The 14,590-nt window shown below is 38.8% G+C and overlaps 1 protein-coding gene across 5 annotated transcripts in view; it reads right to left on the bottom strand.

Annotated features, from left to right (window-relative positions):
- Window positions 1,811-14,590, bottom strand: part of MTAP (methylthioadenosine phosphorylase) — a 138,480-nt gene continuing 125,700 nt past the window's right edge. For 2 of the 5 annotated variants that reach the window (NM_001396044.1, NM_001396045.1), the window contains 3 exons: window positions 11,810-11,918; window positions 3,708-3,766; window positions 1,811-1,955 (listed from right to left, as the gene is read on the bottom strand). In NM_001396044.1, the coding sequence (NP_001382973.1) occupies window positions 1,896-1,955; window positions 3,708-3,766; window positions 11,810-11,918 (228 nt within the window). In that variant the 3' untranslated portion in view covers window positions 1,811-1,895. Of the gene's footprint in view, window positions 1,956-3,707; window positions 3,767-6,899; window positions 11,919-14,590 lie in introns of those variants that run through there. The other 3 variants (NM_001396043.1, NM_001396042.1, NM_001396041.1) reach the window with 2 other exon arrangements.

The raw sequence follows: 14,590 nt of genomic DNA, 5'->3' as shown, positions 1-14,590 counted from the left end.
TAATTCATTAAGATAAGCTTATACTGGATTAGGGTAGACTCCTAATCAAATATGAGTGGTGTCCTTATAAAAAGAAGAAATTTATTCACAAAGACACAGAGAAAAAAATGCCATGTGGAGATGAAGGCTATCTCAGTCTGTTTGGACTAACAACAAAAATACCATAAGCTAGTGGCTTAAACAACAGAAATTTATTTATCATGGTTCTGGAGGCTGGGAAGTCCCAGATCAAGGCACTGGCAGAATTAGTGTCTGGTGAGGGCCTGCTTTCTGCTTTACAGATGGCCCCCTTGTCACTGTGTCCCCACATAGCAGAAGGGATGAGAGAGCTTTCTGGAGTCATTTTTCTAAGGGTACTAATTCCATTGATGAGGGTTGCACACTCATTACCTAATTATTTCCCCAAAGAAGAGCCACCTCCTAATCCCATCACACTGGGGGTTAGGATTTTAACACATAAGTTTTAGGGGGAGACAACATCAGTCTATAACAAAGGCAAAGGTGTACAAGTCAAGAAACACCAGATTTCCAGCAAATCACTAGAATCTAGGAGAGAGTCATGAAAAAGAATCTCCCTCATCAACCCAGAAGGAAACAGCCTTACCAGCACCTTGATCTCAGATATTTAGCCTCCAGAGCTTAGAGGCAATACATTTCTGTTATTTAAACTACCCAGTTTGTGATACTTTGTTATACACCCCTAGTAAACTAATATACCAACCCTCAGGTATAAACCCTGTCTCATTTTAAGATTTATGCCATTCAACCCAACTCTTCCTTCAGCTCTCAGTTTAATGATTATTTCCCCTAGAATACTTCTTTGATCAGGATCTTTTGATATAAACTTTTACAGAACCTTTTTTTCTTGAGCACTTATCTACCTCAGTTTACAATTACACAAGATTTAATGTTGCTAGATTAATATTGGCCTTACCTCTATATTCTAAACTCCATGATAGCAGCAAAAATTTTTTTACACACCATCATATCCCTAAAGTAGGTACTTGGCAAATATTTGTTGAATGAATTAAAGCATTCCTTTGTCTCAAAAGTTGATTCCTTTTTGAAATACAAATAACCTTTGTCAAATATAATCCACCAAGCCTTATCAGTTCTACAATATTTAATATGTACATGAATGTCAGCCCTAAGAGGGCACTGAGCTTTGTTATCAGATAATTGTTTCCTAAATGACAATTGGCTTCTTTCTGAATCCTAATTTTTTTAAATCTTGTCCACTTTGACCATTATTTTATTGACTTCCACAGGCCTTTGTCTCCAGAATCATCTTTATGGTCTTTTAGCAGCAGTTGCCTCCGATAGTTTTGTGGGTATCTTGGCAGCAATCGCCAGATTTTAATTTGTTATAGGCGTTACCTGACATGTTGGCCACATTCCTACCTTTGACAATGTTTGTCTTCTAGTAAGGTTTTAGAACATTCGGAAGCATATAGTCTGCCATAAATTTTAGTTTCAAGTAGAGAAAACTTTTTTTTTAACTTCCAATACTATGTTGAATAGGAGTGGTGAGAGAGGACATGTAGAGAAAACTTTTCTAAATGGTATCTACAGACAGCTAGTGCTAATCTTGATATTAGCCAGGGATATACTATTACCCACCTTGGGGAAGATAATACCATGATAATGAGTGTGGATGCAAGGGAACCACAACCTATGAGATGCTTCTTAGATTTTTTCTTTAAATGTATTTTCCCAATTGGATCTCCAATGGCAGATATTGTACAGGGAAATGATGGTGGATTCAGATACCAGACAAAGCCAAGGGAAAAAGTACCAAAATTCAGCTGCATAACTGGTACATTTTAAAATTTAATTTAAATTTTAAGTAACTATTATACATGCAGAGTTTGAAAATCAAATATTACTATAGGATGTCATGATTTCATGCAAATATATGTTTGGTCTTTGCTCCAACTCACTTTGAAAGTTGTCACCTGAAAGCAAATATAAGAGGGTTGTAACTTTTAGCACCCCTTTCCACTTCTGGGGGTTGGGGGAAGAAAGGCAGTAAAGATAATGTTCAAGCACCAATGGTTGGCAATTTAACTAATCATACCTATGTAATAAAACCTCCATACTAACCTCTAAACTTTGGGGTTCAGAGAGCTTCTGGGTTGGTGAACACAATGAGGTGCTAGGATGATGGTGCACCTGGAGAAGGCATGGAAGAAAGAGCCCCCATACCTTGCCCCATGAATCTCTTCCACTTGGCTATTCCTAAATTGTATTTTTCATTATAAACTGGCAATCATATGTGTTTTCCTGAGTTCCCGTTAATTGTCCTAGTAAATTATTGAACATGAGGAAGAGGTCAAGGGAACCCTCAAATTTGTAGTCAGCTCGGTAGAAGTCATAGCCAGATACTGGAGGAAATTAGAATTCAGGATCCAGTTCAGTTTACAAGTAGATAACAAAACCTCAAAGACAGTGAACTAGGCTAGAATCTAACAATGGGTGTGCTATAGTTTTCTACTAATATATAGTTTTTCTCTTTATAGTCATGCCCATTCCAAAAATAATCACAGTAAAACTGATTTGTTTGCAAAATAGGCCTAGTCCCGTTACACTTGGCCTGATTACTTACATAAGTATAGTAAGAATAGTGATTCATTACATAAGCTTTTTCAAAGTATACTTTGCTGGGACTTTTAATAAGGAGTCTCAAATTAGAATTTAAAAAGTCTTTCCAAGCTAGGAAGGCAAGCCAAGGACTTGTCATCAGACTTCATCTGCAATGCCTATAATTTTGGGTGAATTCTCTTCTTCATTAGGTTCTTAAAATCTCCTTAAGGGTCCTTAAGGGTCCTGTTGGCCAGGCTTGGTTTCAAACTCCCGACCTCAGGTGATCCACCTGCCTCGGCCTCCCAAAGTGCTGGGATTACAGGCGTGAGCCACCACACCCGGCTGGTCATATAAAATTTTACACATATTTTTAAGTATGATATTCTATTTAAAACCTTGGTAATATAACCAGTGTTTCTAATTGTGTCCTGTTATAGGAAGAATATATTCTTTTTTTTTTGAGACAGAGTCTCACTCTGTCACCCAGGCTAGAGTGCAGTGGCACAATCTCAGATCACTTCAGCCTCCACCTCCCAGGTTCAAGCAATTCTTGTGCCTCAGCCACCTGAGTAGCTGGGATTACAAGCGTGCACCACCATACCTAGTTAATTTTTGTATTATTATTATTATTATTATTTTTTCATAGAGCTGGGGTTTCACCATGTTGGCCATGCTGGTCTCAAACTCTTGGCCTCAAGTGATCAGCCCTCCTTGGCCTCCCAAAGTGCTGGGATTACAGGCATGAGATACTGCGCCCAGCCCAGAAGAACATATTCTTATTGCAGTTATGCATATAACTATATTGCCTTGGAAATAATAATACTTGCTAATAGTTTCTGAATTCTGGAGGGATCAGGTAAGAGAGAAAGTATATGCTTCTTTTCTGTTGATAAAGGTATAATCTGCTAAATTTCTGTAAGCTATAGATAGCTTAAGGAAAGAAAGAAAAAGTTACGTTAAATCTGAAAAATTAGACATTAAAGAAACAGCAATGTTTCAAACGAAAAGTCATAAAATTATCATTATTATCAATACATTTTATCCCATGTGCATTAGTCCGTTTTCACACTGCTGATAAAGACATACCAGAGACTGGGAAGAAAAAGAGGTTTAATTGGACTTACAGTTCCACGTGGCTGGGGAGGCCTCAGAATTATGGCGGGAGCTGAAAGGCACTTCTTACCTGATGGTGAAATGAGGAAGAAGCAAAAGCAGAAACCCCTGATTAACCCATCAGATCTCATGAGACCTATTCACTATCACGAGAATAGCATGGGAAAGACCAGACTCCATGATTCAATAACCTCTCCCTGGGTCCCTCCCACAACATGTGGGAATTCTGGGAGATACAATTCAAGTTGAGATTTCAGTAGGGACACAGCCAAACCATATCACCATGTAATTAATTTTTCTTCTACTTGATCTTGGGTTAGCAATTTTATAAATTTAGTTTTTCCAATAGAGTCCTGGAAATTCTTATGCAGTCCAATGTTATGATCTTAAAGTTACCAGAAACCCACACATTTCAATATTTTCCATAAATCTTCCTGCAAACAAAGCATTTGGAATAACTTTCAGGAAAGTATCAGAGTAAAACTACTGTTTGTGGATGACAACAGACTTAAAAATGGCCATGGTTAAAGATCTGATGAAAGTTCATTATAATGCAATTGACAATGTAATTTGTTATTTCTGAGAAACACAACATTTTAAGGTAACTAAAATTATGACTGATAACATATCAGGACATATCGGAGTTGTAGAAGTTCACAGAACATCTGGAAAACTTACATGAATAATATTATAACATAAGAAGGTTAAACATCACCCTTATTTGACAACTTCCTATGCAATTCTCTTTTTTTCTTTCTTTCTTTCTTTTTCCCTTTCTTTCTTTCTTTTTTTTTCCAAGGTCTCACTTTCTTGCCCAGGCTGGAATACAGTAGCATAATCATGGCTCACTGCAGCCTGAACCTCCTTAGGTTCAGGTGATCCTCCCACCTCAGCCTCCCAAGTAGCTGGGACTACAGGCATGACACCATGTTAGGCTAATTTTTTTTTTTTTTTTTGAGAAGGACTCTCGCTCTGTTGCCGAGGCTGGAGTGCAGTGGTGTGATCTTGGCTCACTGCAACCTCTGCCTCCCGGATTCAAGCAATCCTCCTGCCTCAGCCTCCCAAGTAACTGGAACTACAGGCACACGCCGCCATGCCCAGATAATTTTTTGTATTTTTAGTAGAGATGGGGTTTCACCTTGCTGCCCAGACTGGTCTCAAACTCCTGAGCTCAGGCAATCAGCCCACCTTAGCCTCTCAAAGTGCTAGGATTACAGGCATGAGCCACCACGCTGGGCTGCCAGGCTAATTTTTGTAGAGAAGGGTCTCCCTATGTTACTCACGCTGGTCTCAAACTCCCAGGCTCAAGTGATCTGCCTACCTTGGCCTCCCAAAGTGCTAGAATTACAGGCCTGAGCCACTGTGCCTGACCTCTCTTTCTATAAGGAAAGAAAACAAAGTCTTTTGAGATATTCCAGGAATCCATCTGGAAAATCCTACTTAGCTTGAGGTTAAAAAAAAGATTTAGTTTAGAATTTGGTTTTAGGAAGTCTGGCAAAAATATCAAATGTTTTAAACACTTGATTAAATATATCAAAAGTCACTGTGAAGACACAAAAAGTAACAACTAAGAGGTTTCAAAGGCAAATAGAGAAAGTTTAATAACTGTAAAAACAAAACAAACAAAACTAGCTCTTTTGTTGGGAAGATTCAATTTTCTTAAGTAATTAAAGACCAAAAAAAGGCAACACGAAGCACAAAGAATTATTTTGAGAAAACACAAAATCTTCATTTTGTAGGCCGATTAGTTACAAGGGAAAGGAAAATTTTTCACAATCACTTTTAAAAACTGGAGCAATACTCTTTAAAAAGAAAACTGTCATTTTCACAGAGAAGACCAAATTCTAGTTTTGCATCAGTTTACTTTTGATATTAAGACTCTTTTTTTTTTTGAGATGGAGTCTCACTGTGTCGCCAGGCTGGAGTGCAGTGGTGTGATCTCAGTTCACTGCAACCTCTGCCTCCTGGGTTCATGCGATTCTCCTGCCTCAGCCTCCCTAGTAGCTGGGACTACAGGTGCGCACCACCACGCCCAGCTAATTTTTGTATTTTTAGTAGAGATGGAGTTTCACCATGGTCTTGATCTCTTGACCTCATGATCTGCCCGCCTTGGCCTCCCAAAGTGCTGGGATTACAGGCGTGAGCCACAGTGCTTGGTCAAGACTCATTTTTAAAACCTTATAATACATTCAGTTCTAGCCAACTTGTCCATACAAGAGTCATTCATTTTGTGTGTGTGTCATCTCTCTTCCTTTTTGTATCCATTTAGATTTTATCTTTCATTCATTCTGAAACAACCTTTAAATAACCTCCAAACTAGACCAAATTATTCTTCCTTTTCCTTAAAAAAAAGCACATCCTTATACCTTATGGCTTTCCTTACCAAAAACATGTCTTACTTTCTTTGCATATAGTTATCTCCCTTATTATTTTTAGTCTTTTTAACTACTCTATATTAGTTAAAATTGTTAACTCTTAGTAACTTCAATTTCTAGTGAAAACTAGGAAATAAGAAATTGTGAACGGTTATGGGGTATTCCATAAAATGGTAAATCTATAAATATACCATTTTATAATTTCTATAGAAGTATATTCTTTCTCATAGTACAGTTTAAAGTGTTTTTTAACAGATGTAAATATATTTAGTTCCTTTGTAATAAAAACCAAAAGTAGATTAACTTATGTTAAGCAATTAATGTTTCAGCATTTTATGTTATTTGGAAATGATCTAAATATTTAATAAATGTCCATTATCTAATTTAGTTTAGCAAAACTCTACAGGCATAAGTTAACAATGAGAAGCTATTGAGAAAGAAAAGTAGCCCAGAGCAGTCTGAACTATGTGAGATATGCAAAATTTATCATCATCTGTCTGGATAGATATGTCCAAACAATACAGTGTGGTTCCAGGAGATGAAGACATCAAATAGCATGGCCTCCAATGTGGAATGCCATCAAATACAAAACTCCCTCCAAACACCTTGGAAGCGACCATATCTGTATTGTTAACCAATACTTGTGGAGTTAAATTCAAATACATTGACTTATGCATTCATAATTTTTATTTTAAAAAGGCAGCTCTGCCTGAGTGGACAAACTCATCACTGGAGATCTCCTATACATTGATCTTTAGATCAGCACAAGAAGTAGAAAACATATTTATTTGGTCGCCTTCGGAAATAAAAACATTTTTCAGATCTGGCTTTTGTTAGTAATTGTCTTTATTTGCATCATGTCTTTTATTCTCAAATTGATTATACTTTGCACTTCTAGATGTCCAAAATCAACAAAAACACTAAAATAATGATAGCTAGATGCTTAGAAATGATCCAACATGCCATAGCTCCTTTGTAAGCAGATGACCTGAAATACCATTGCCCTGTCCCTTTGTGTTGCCAATCAACTTGGCCTTGAGACTTCACTGCATTCTTAAGCCATTTTATCTCTCCTCTCTTCCTCCAATGTGGGATGAGACTAACTAAAACTAAGTCTTCCAGTGACATGGGACAAACTTACATCTAAAATGTTGATCATCAATACTTTCAGAAGAAAAAAAAACTCAACCAAAAGGAAGAGAAAGAAACGTAGCTCAGAAGAGTCTGAACTATATAAAGTATGCAAAATTTATCAGGCCCAGAGAGACATGAGTATGAGATTTTTGTCACATCCTGCCCCAAATCCATGCCCAGGGGATGTGACCCTCACCCATTATGTTCATGCTCCTGGAATTTATGGTTAAAAAAAAATGTATAGCCAATCAATAGTTTATATGCAACTAAAGAACTGCCCCTTCTTTAAAAAAAAAAAACCGCTTGTAACTGCTGCTAATTGGAGTTTATATTCATAGCAACTTGAAGACGTGTCTCCCACATTGCAGTTCTCAAATTTGGCCCAAATAAACTGTTTATACTAATTTTGCCTCCATTTCTTTTGTTAAGAAGTTGACACAATTTTAAGTACCCGTATTAAAAAATAATTACTATTGAAAAGTTCATTTATAATTTCTATTCTATTTACAATTCAATTGTTGTATTCAGCAAGTGTATTCAATAGAATTCAATTGAATTCTATTCTATAATTCAATTGTTCTTAATTTTAATTGACTTATGAAATTTCATTAGACAGACAAAGCTAGTCAACATCTCATTATTAATATTTTCCTATTAACAATTTTTACAGCATATGTATGTTAGCCAAATATCACAAAAGCAAGAACCTAAAAAAAAGTTAAGGCCGGGCTTGGTGGCTCATGCCTGTAATCCCAGCACTTTGGGAGGCCGAGGCGAGCAGATCATGAGGTCAGGAGCTCGAGACCAGCCTGACCAACATGGTGAAACACCATCTCTACTAAAAATACAAAAATTAGCCGGGCATGGTGGTGCACGCCTGTAATCCCAGCTACTCAGGAGGCTGAGGTAGGAGAATCGCTTGAACCCGGGAGGTGGAGGTTGCAGTGAGCTGAGATTGTGCCACTGCATTCCAGCCTGGGCAACAGAGAGAGACTCCGTCTCAAAAAAAAAAACCAAAAAAAAGTTAAATACTTGTTTTTTTTTGTTTTTTTGCTTTACTGCTATACTTAATATATACTTGCTTTACCGCTGTACTTAATAAAATAGCTACCACATTTTCACTTTTGCTCTTAGATTAAACTGACAGTTTTATAATCTTAAACATCTAGTTACAATAACAAACTTATTTGCCTAGTAACCCCTGGTAGAAAAAAACTGTATGTATGTATTATATTTAATGTTGACAACTCTGAAGACATGCCTGCTTTAGTTAATCCAACAAACTTAAAGAAATTTTTATTTACTGAAGATTATCCCGTATCATACTGTTAAAGAGAACTGAAGATAGCCTGAGAAGGACTCCGTACTTCTATATTTGAGTCCTTGTGGATGAACTGTAACCTAACTTAACAGGTAGACAAGATTGAAAACCTAATTTAGGAGTACGTTCCTGTAACAATAGCCGAGTCTTGGCCAATTCTAGTAGCCATACTTCAACCACTTAGACACTGCTGAGTGTTCAAACTGTGTTCAAATAAGGCAAACACCAACCTGTAACCAGTCCAGCTCTTTCTGTACTTCACTTCTAATTTCTGTATGTCACTTCCCTTTTTTTGTCTATAAATTTGTTCTGACCATGAGGCATCCCTGGAGTCTCCATGAATCAGCTGTAACTCTGGAGGCTGCCTGATTTGTGAATCATTCATTGCTCAATTAAACTTCTTTAAGTTTAATTTGGCTGAAGTTTCTTCTTTTAACAATATCAACTTGAAGAACATTTGCGCTAGGTCTTATTTTTCTGAAAGTTTAAAAAATACTTAATTTGTATAAGTGCTTTTTCTTTAAGGCAATTAAATACAGCTCTTTATAAGTTAATTTTAGGATAGTCTCTAGAGGTAGAAAAATATTACACATACATGCATACACAGACATACATAAAATACAGACAGAAGCAGATTTCACAGTTTTCATTTGAAAACTGTAGCCATGTGCCAGGTACAATAATACAAAAACAGTTCATAAAGAATTTCTGAATCCAAATTGTGTTTCTGGCAGATGGAACAAGTTAAGATTATCTAAAGGATGGCTAAAGCTTTTCACTGTTTCTGGGAGAAAAAACAAGATTTTTTTATTTGCTCAATTTCCAATTAGCTCTATTTCTTCTTCTTCTTCTGGTGAGTAATCTCCCTGGCATTTGCATATCAAAGAGATAACCCTCAGGTCCTAGAGGAGACAGGGTGGAAAATGTAGATCTTAATGGCAGAGAGCCAGAAAAAGCACCTTAAACAAAGGTAAGGTTTGTTACTTAAACTCCTTCTCCATTGGTTAAGAGTGTCTGGTGATTTAGTCCTTCTTTTCTTCCTGATGCAGAGAGACAAGCTTATAAATGGAGACTTCCTTTGTAGATATAAATTTCTCTTACAAAGAGTCTCAAAATAACTCTCTCAAAATAATCTTTATGCCAGATAGCATATTTTGGCAACTAATTCAGCTAGATCTGTGTCTTCCCCATCCAGCTTCAAAAGAAAAAAGCTAGATTACTGAGTTCAGGATGGTGCCCATGAATAAATAGGGCAAAGCATGTTCTATACCTACACTCAGTGTGGATAGCTTCAGCAAATTTCTGAGAGTTTTCCTTTGGGATAAGAAAGCCTTTCACTATTGCCTCTGAGCTTAGATTTTGACTAAAGCATACAGGTGGCTAAAGAAAGCCCAGCTGGTTTATTCTGAGGGACTAATTTCATAAGGCATTTTTTTTTCTAACTTTTTGTCTTCAAAGTGGAAAAATAACTGAGTGAAAAAGTTAGTAGATTCAGAGTAATTAGGCAGAGGAGGGTAGAAAGAAGGATATTGTAAGGACTCAACGGGTTCTTCTTGCCTGCTGCCCAGATAGAGCTGATTTATCATTTATCAAGGCAGGGGAATTGCAATAGAGAAAGAGTTTTATACATGTAGAGTTGGCTAAATGGGAGACGTATTTTATTATTGCTCAAATCAGCTTCCCCGGAAATTTGAAAGCTAGGGTTTTTCATGGATGGTTTGGGGGATGAATGGGGCTGTTTTAGGCAATAAGTCCTTGCTGCTAATTGGTTGGGGGTGCAATCATAGGGGTGTGGGAAATAGTCCTTATGCATGCTGAGTTGCTTCTGGATGGGGCCACAGGAGTGGTTGGTGGGTCCAGGTGGAGCCATCGGTAGTCAGACACACAAAAAAACCTGAAAAGACATCTCAAAAGGCCAATCTTAGGTTCTAAAATACTGATGTTATCTGCAGGAGTAATTGAAGAAGTTGCACATTTTGTGACCTCCAGAATAATGGCTGGAAACTGTTTATATCTACACCTTAGCAGAATTTAGACTCCTCTATCCTCCTTGCCTGGTGGCCTCTCATCAGCTTTGCTGAGGTGGTTGAATTTTAAGGAAGGACTATTATCATTTAAACTATAGACCAAGTGTCTCCCAAAGTTAGCTTGGCCTAAGCCCAGGAATAATTATGGGCAGCTTGAAGGCTAAAGGCAAGATGGGGTTTGGCTTGATCAGATCACCCCTACTGCCATAATTTTCTCACTGTTATAATTTTTGCAAAGGTGGTTTCAATTGAGGGAAGAAGCAGTTGGAGTTAAGTCAGTCAACGTACATTTTTAGTTCCATTATCATTTTGCCTTTTGTAAAAAGTCTTTTTAAAAGAAAAAAAAATAGAGTCTCATTCTGTTGCCAGGCTGGAGAGCAGTGGCATAATCAAGGCTCACCGCAGCCTTAACCTTCTGGGCTCAAGTTATCCTCCTGTTAGCAGCAGCAAATCTGTATGGGTCTGCAGCAGCTTGCTTTTTGCCATCTTGAAGGAAATAATTCTTCCAAGGGGCATAAGGCAGAGTGAAAGACTGAGGCAAGTTTTTGAGCAGGAGTGAAATTTAAAAAGTTTTAGAGCAGGAATGAAAGGAAATAAAGTACACTTAGAAGAGGGCCAAGTGGGCAACTTGAGAAATCCAAGTGCCCTGTTTGACCTTAGACTTGGGGTTTTATATATTGGCATGCTTCTGGGGTTTTGCATCTCTCCTCTTTTGATTTTTCCTTGGGGCAGGCTGTCCACATGTGCATGAGTCATGTGTTTTTAGAGGAAGTCTGTATACCAGTTAAACTCCACGATTTTGCCTCTTAGTGCCCATGTTTGAGCCTGCTTGCCCAAATCCTGAGATCTTACTAGGAAGCTGCTGATCACCAGCTTCAGGACTTTTCTATCTATTGGGAGATTGTCTTTCCCTGCTGCCAGTTGCAACCTATTATTATTTTAGAGAGAGAGTTTAACAACCACCTGATGATCATCTGATGCTCACCTGACATTCCTAGTTGGAGGGGGTCTCTCCTCCCTTACTCATGTCTGCCTAATTACCTACTCTAACATTTTCCCCCGCAAAAATCCATGACCCAATTCTTTGGGAAACTGGATGAAGGTCAGTCTTCTGTAACTGCTTCCTGCTGACAGAGGTGTGATGGTGATTGTTCTGTGGGTCTTGGCCTCTTGCTAGCTGTCAGGGCAGGGTGGCTGCATGGGTTGTTGGAAGCAGTATCCAGCCAGGTCTAAGGGAGACAGGGGCAGGATTTCACCTCTGCCATGTCCCACTGATGGGAAGTCTAGGAGTCCTCTGTAGAAGGGTGACTCTTGAATATTGAAAGGATGGTATCCCTCACTGAGGATCATCTGGAACTTGATCATCTAAAGGTGAGAGAAAGGAGACAAATTGGGTTATTAGATTTTTGAAGACATGGACTGAAAGGAGCAAAAGTAGAGGCTAACATGTGGGCCTAAAAAGGGAAGAACCCAGGGAAGATCCCATTTCCAGGTTCCTTACCAATCTAACTAACCACGAGAGGCTTGTTCTTGTAAGCTGGAGGCTCGATTTAGGAGTTGTCTGATGTTGTTTTGTACTTTTACTGATTGATTTACCCAAAAGCAACATTTTTCATCTAAAGCTAAACAAATTCCTCCCTGTGCTGCCATTAACATATCTAGTCCTTGACAGTTTTGGAGGACTACAACTGCTAAAGTGTTAATTTGCTCTGGCCATGGTTGAGGTTTTAGCCATGATATTAAACTTGCTGGCTATTTCCTTTCAGAGTTGGCTATAGGTCAAGGAGGCTTTTGAGATTCCGGCAGTTTAGGTTCCCATACCAGCTATAATGCTGAGGCCCATAAGAAGGGGAATTAATTGGATAGCCCTTTTCACCCTGGGCAAGATAGAATTCCCATGGATTGGTGCTGGAAGAGAGAGATTGCCAGGGAGTATAAAGATGTCCAGGGGTACATAATCTATGGTACAAGTTCCAGTCCATTTAATGAGGAGGCATTGGTAAACTGATTGGCCACAAACACAGAAGGCTCCTTGGGTTTTAAGACAAGTAGAGATGTCAAAACAAAAGAAGAGATGAGGACAGCCCCCAAAAATACCAAGGATGACAACACACCCAGGTAGCTGGTAGCTACATTCATGCCTGCTAACACTTGGGTACATGGGGTTTGGCTCTGATTAGCTCCCTTGGTTTCATTTTCCCAAAAAAAGAGAATTTTGAGTTTACTCCATTAGAACCCATTCTGCTGTGGAGCTGAGGTTGGCAATTTGCAGACATTGGTTATAATCATCAGGCTGGAACTAGAAATTTCAAGTACTGCATGAGCTTGGGCATTGCTGGCAAAACTGAATGGACTTAATTAGCAAAGTTGCCTGAAGAAAGATAATATTTGAAGGTTTGGGGAATCTTGGTTGATGGTGGAATTGGTTTTCGGTGTATGTTCCATCAGTCTGTTGGTTAGAATCTACAGAGAGAGTAACATTACAAGCTATACTGGGAAAGAGCCTACATCCAATCCATCTTTTTCTTTTGGCCATAAGACAAATAGAGGTTATTCCCATTAAAGTGATATTAGAAAAGATTGATCCAAAAATGAGAGGTGCCTTGTGGATGTCAAGTAAATACTGCTTTGCTTTTGCAAAAAATGTTATTTGCAGACCCAAATAGCTCTTTCAGATTAGGGTCCTGTTGAGAGGAAATACGTAACTCTATGTCTATGCTTGTCCAATCTCTGGTACAGGCTGGATAAGCTCTCCCTGGTGTTTTAGAGGAAGAGCTAGTACATAACCAGCATTTGGTGGAGTAAGGGGATCCTGTGTTTTGGAGCAATTGCTGAGCTTTTTCTCATAACAGGAAATCAGGATGGCAGTGTGCTGCCAGTAAAGCGTTGAGTATGAGAACCAACAGGAGCAGAGCCATGGTGACCTAAGGTGATTGTGAGAGAGAGAAATTGATCACAAAGCAAGCTGCCACTGGAACTCCTGGTGGTGTACAAGTTGGGATTAAAATAGTGATAATAATCATAACAATTGTTAGTAAAATTCCTAATACTAGGATCACCTTACTTTGAGGTGAAAGGATGTTGAGGGGGCATTACTTATGTTTTCACTAAAAGAGGAATTTCAGGTCTTCCAGTGCCTCACAAGTGTATTCTGGAGCTGAGGGTGTTGGTTCTGGCTCTGGTGTTGCATGGCCTTTCCATGACTTCACCCAGGCATGATGTATCCAGCTGGCTATCTCTGGTACTTTAATGGCTGTGGGAATAGATACTGGAGCAGTGAAGTGGCCCCCCCAGAATACAGTTAGTTAGGAATTTGGGGTTTCAACCTTCCAAGCTTTAATGAGAACTAGAGCCTGGAAGATACAGAGGCTGGGATTGTTTCCCCTTCCGACGTTGGGTTTGTTTTTAACCCATATTCCCAGAGAGTCTGTTGGAAGCCTGCTAAAGAAGAAACATACTGGGTGATTTTGGCAGTTTCTTCATCTAGTATCAGATAAGTCTGAATATAGAAATGGCCTACAATATAAGATCTCAAAGGGGCTTAATTGCTAGGGAGCCTTAGGGGCAATACAGATTTGAAGGAGGGTTAAAGGTAAGAGGTCCACCCATGACTGCTATTTCCTGACAGAGATTATTGAGGATGCATTTCAGGGTTTGGTAAATTCTTTCCACTTTTCCTGAAGATTGCAGTTCTCAGGCAAAGTGAGGGTACCACTTCATGCCTAGGGCATTACTAACCTGTTAAGTTACTTGGGGAAAAAAAGATGAATCACTGTCACTCTGCAATGACCTGGGGAGTTCAAAGCAGGGAATGAGTTCCTTTAGGAGCAAGTCAGCTATCTCCTGTGCCTTTTCAGTCCTTGTGGGGCAGGAGTCTTCCCGTTCTGTGAAGGTACCTACACAGACCAAGAGGTACTTACACCTGTGGCATGTGGGTAGCTGAGTGAAGTCCATCTACCAGTCCTCCCCAGAGTATGTACCTCTCCTTTGGATTTGACTTATTATGGAGGGGGCTTCCCCATCTAGGGATTATTTGT

This window comes from Homo sapiens, chromosome 9 (assembly GCF_000001405.40).
Source record: "Homo sapiens chromosome 9, GRCh38.p14 Primary Assembly".
Classification (NCBI taxonomy): domain Eukaryota; kingdom Metazoa; phylum Chordata; class Mammalia; order Primates; family Hominidae; genus Homo; species Homo sapiens.
Note: the sequence above shows the minus strand (reverse complement) of the source record. Positions and strands in the feature narration are given on the sequence as shown.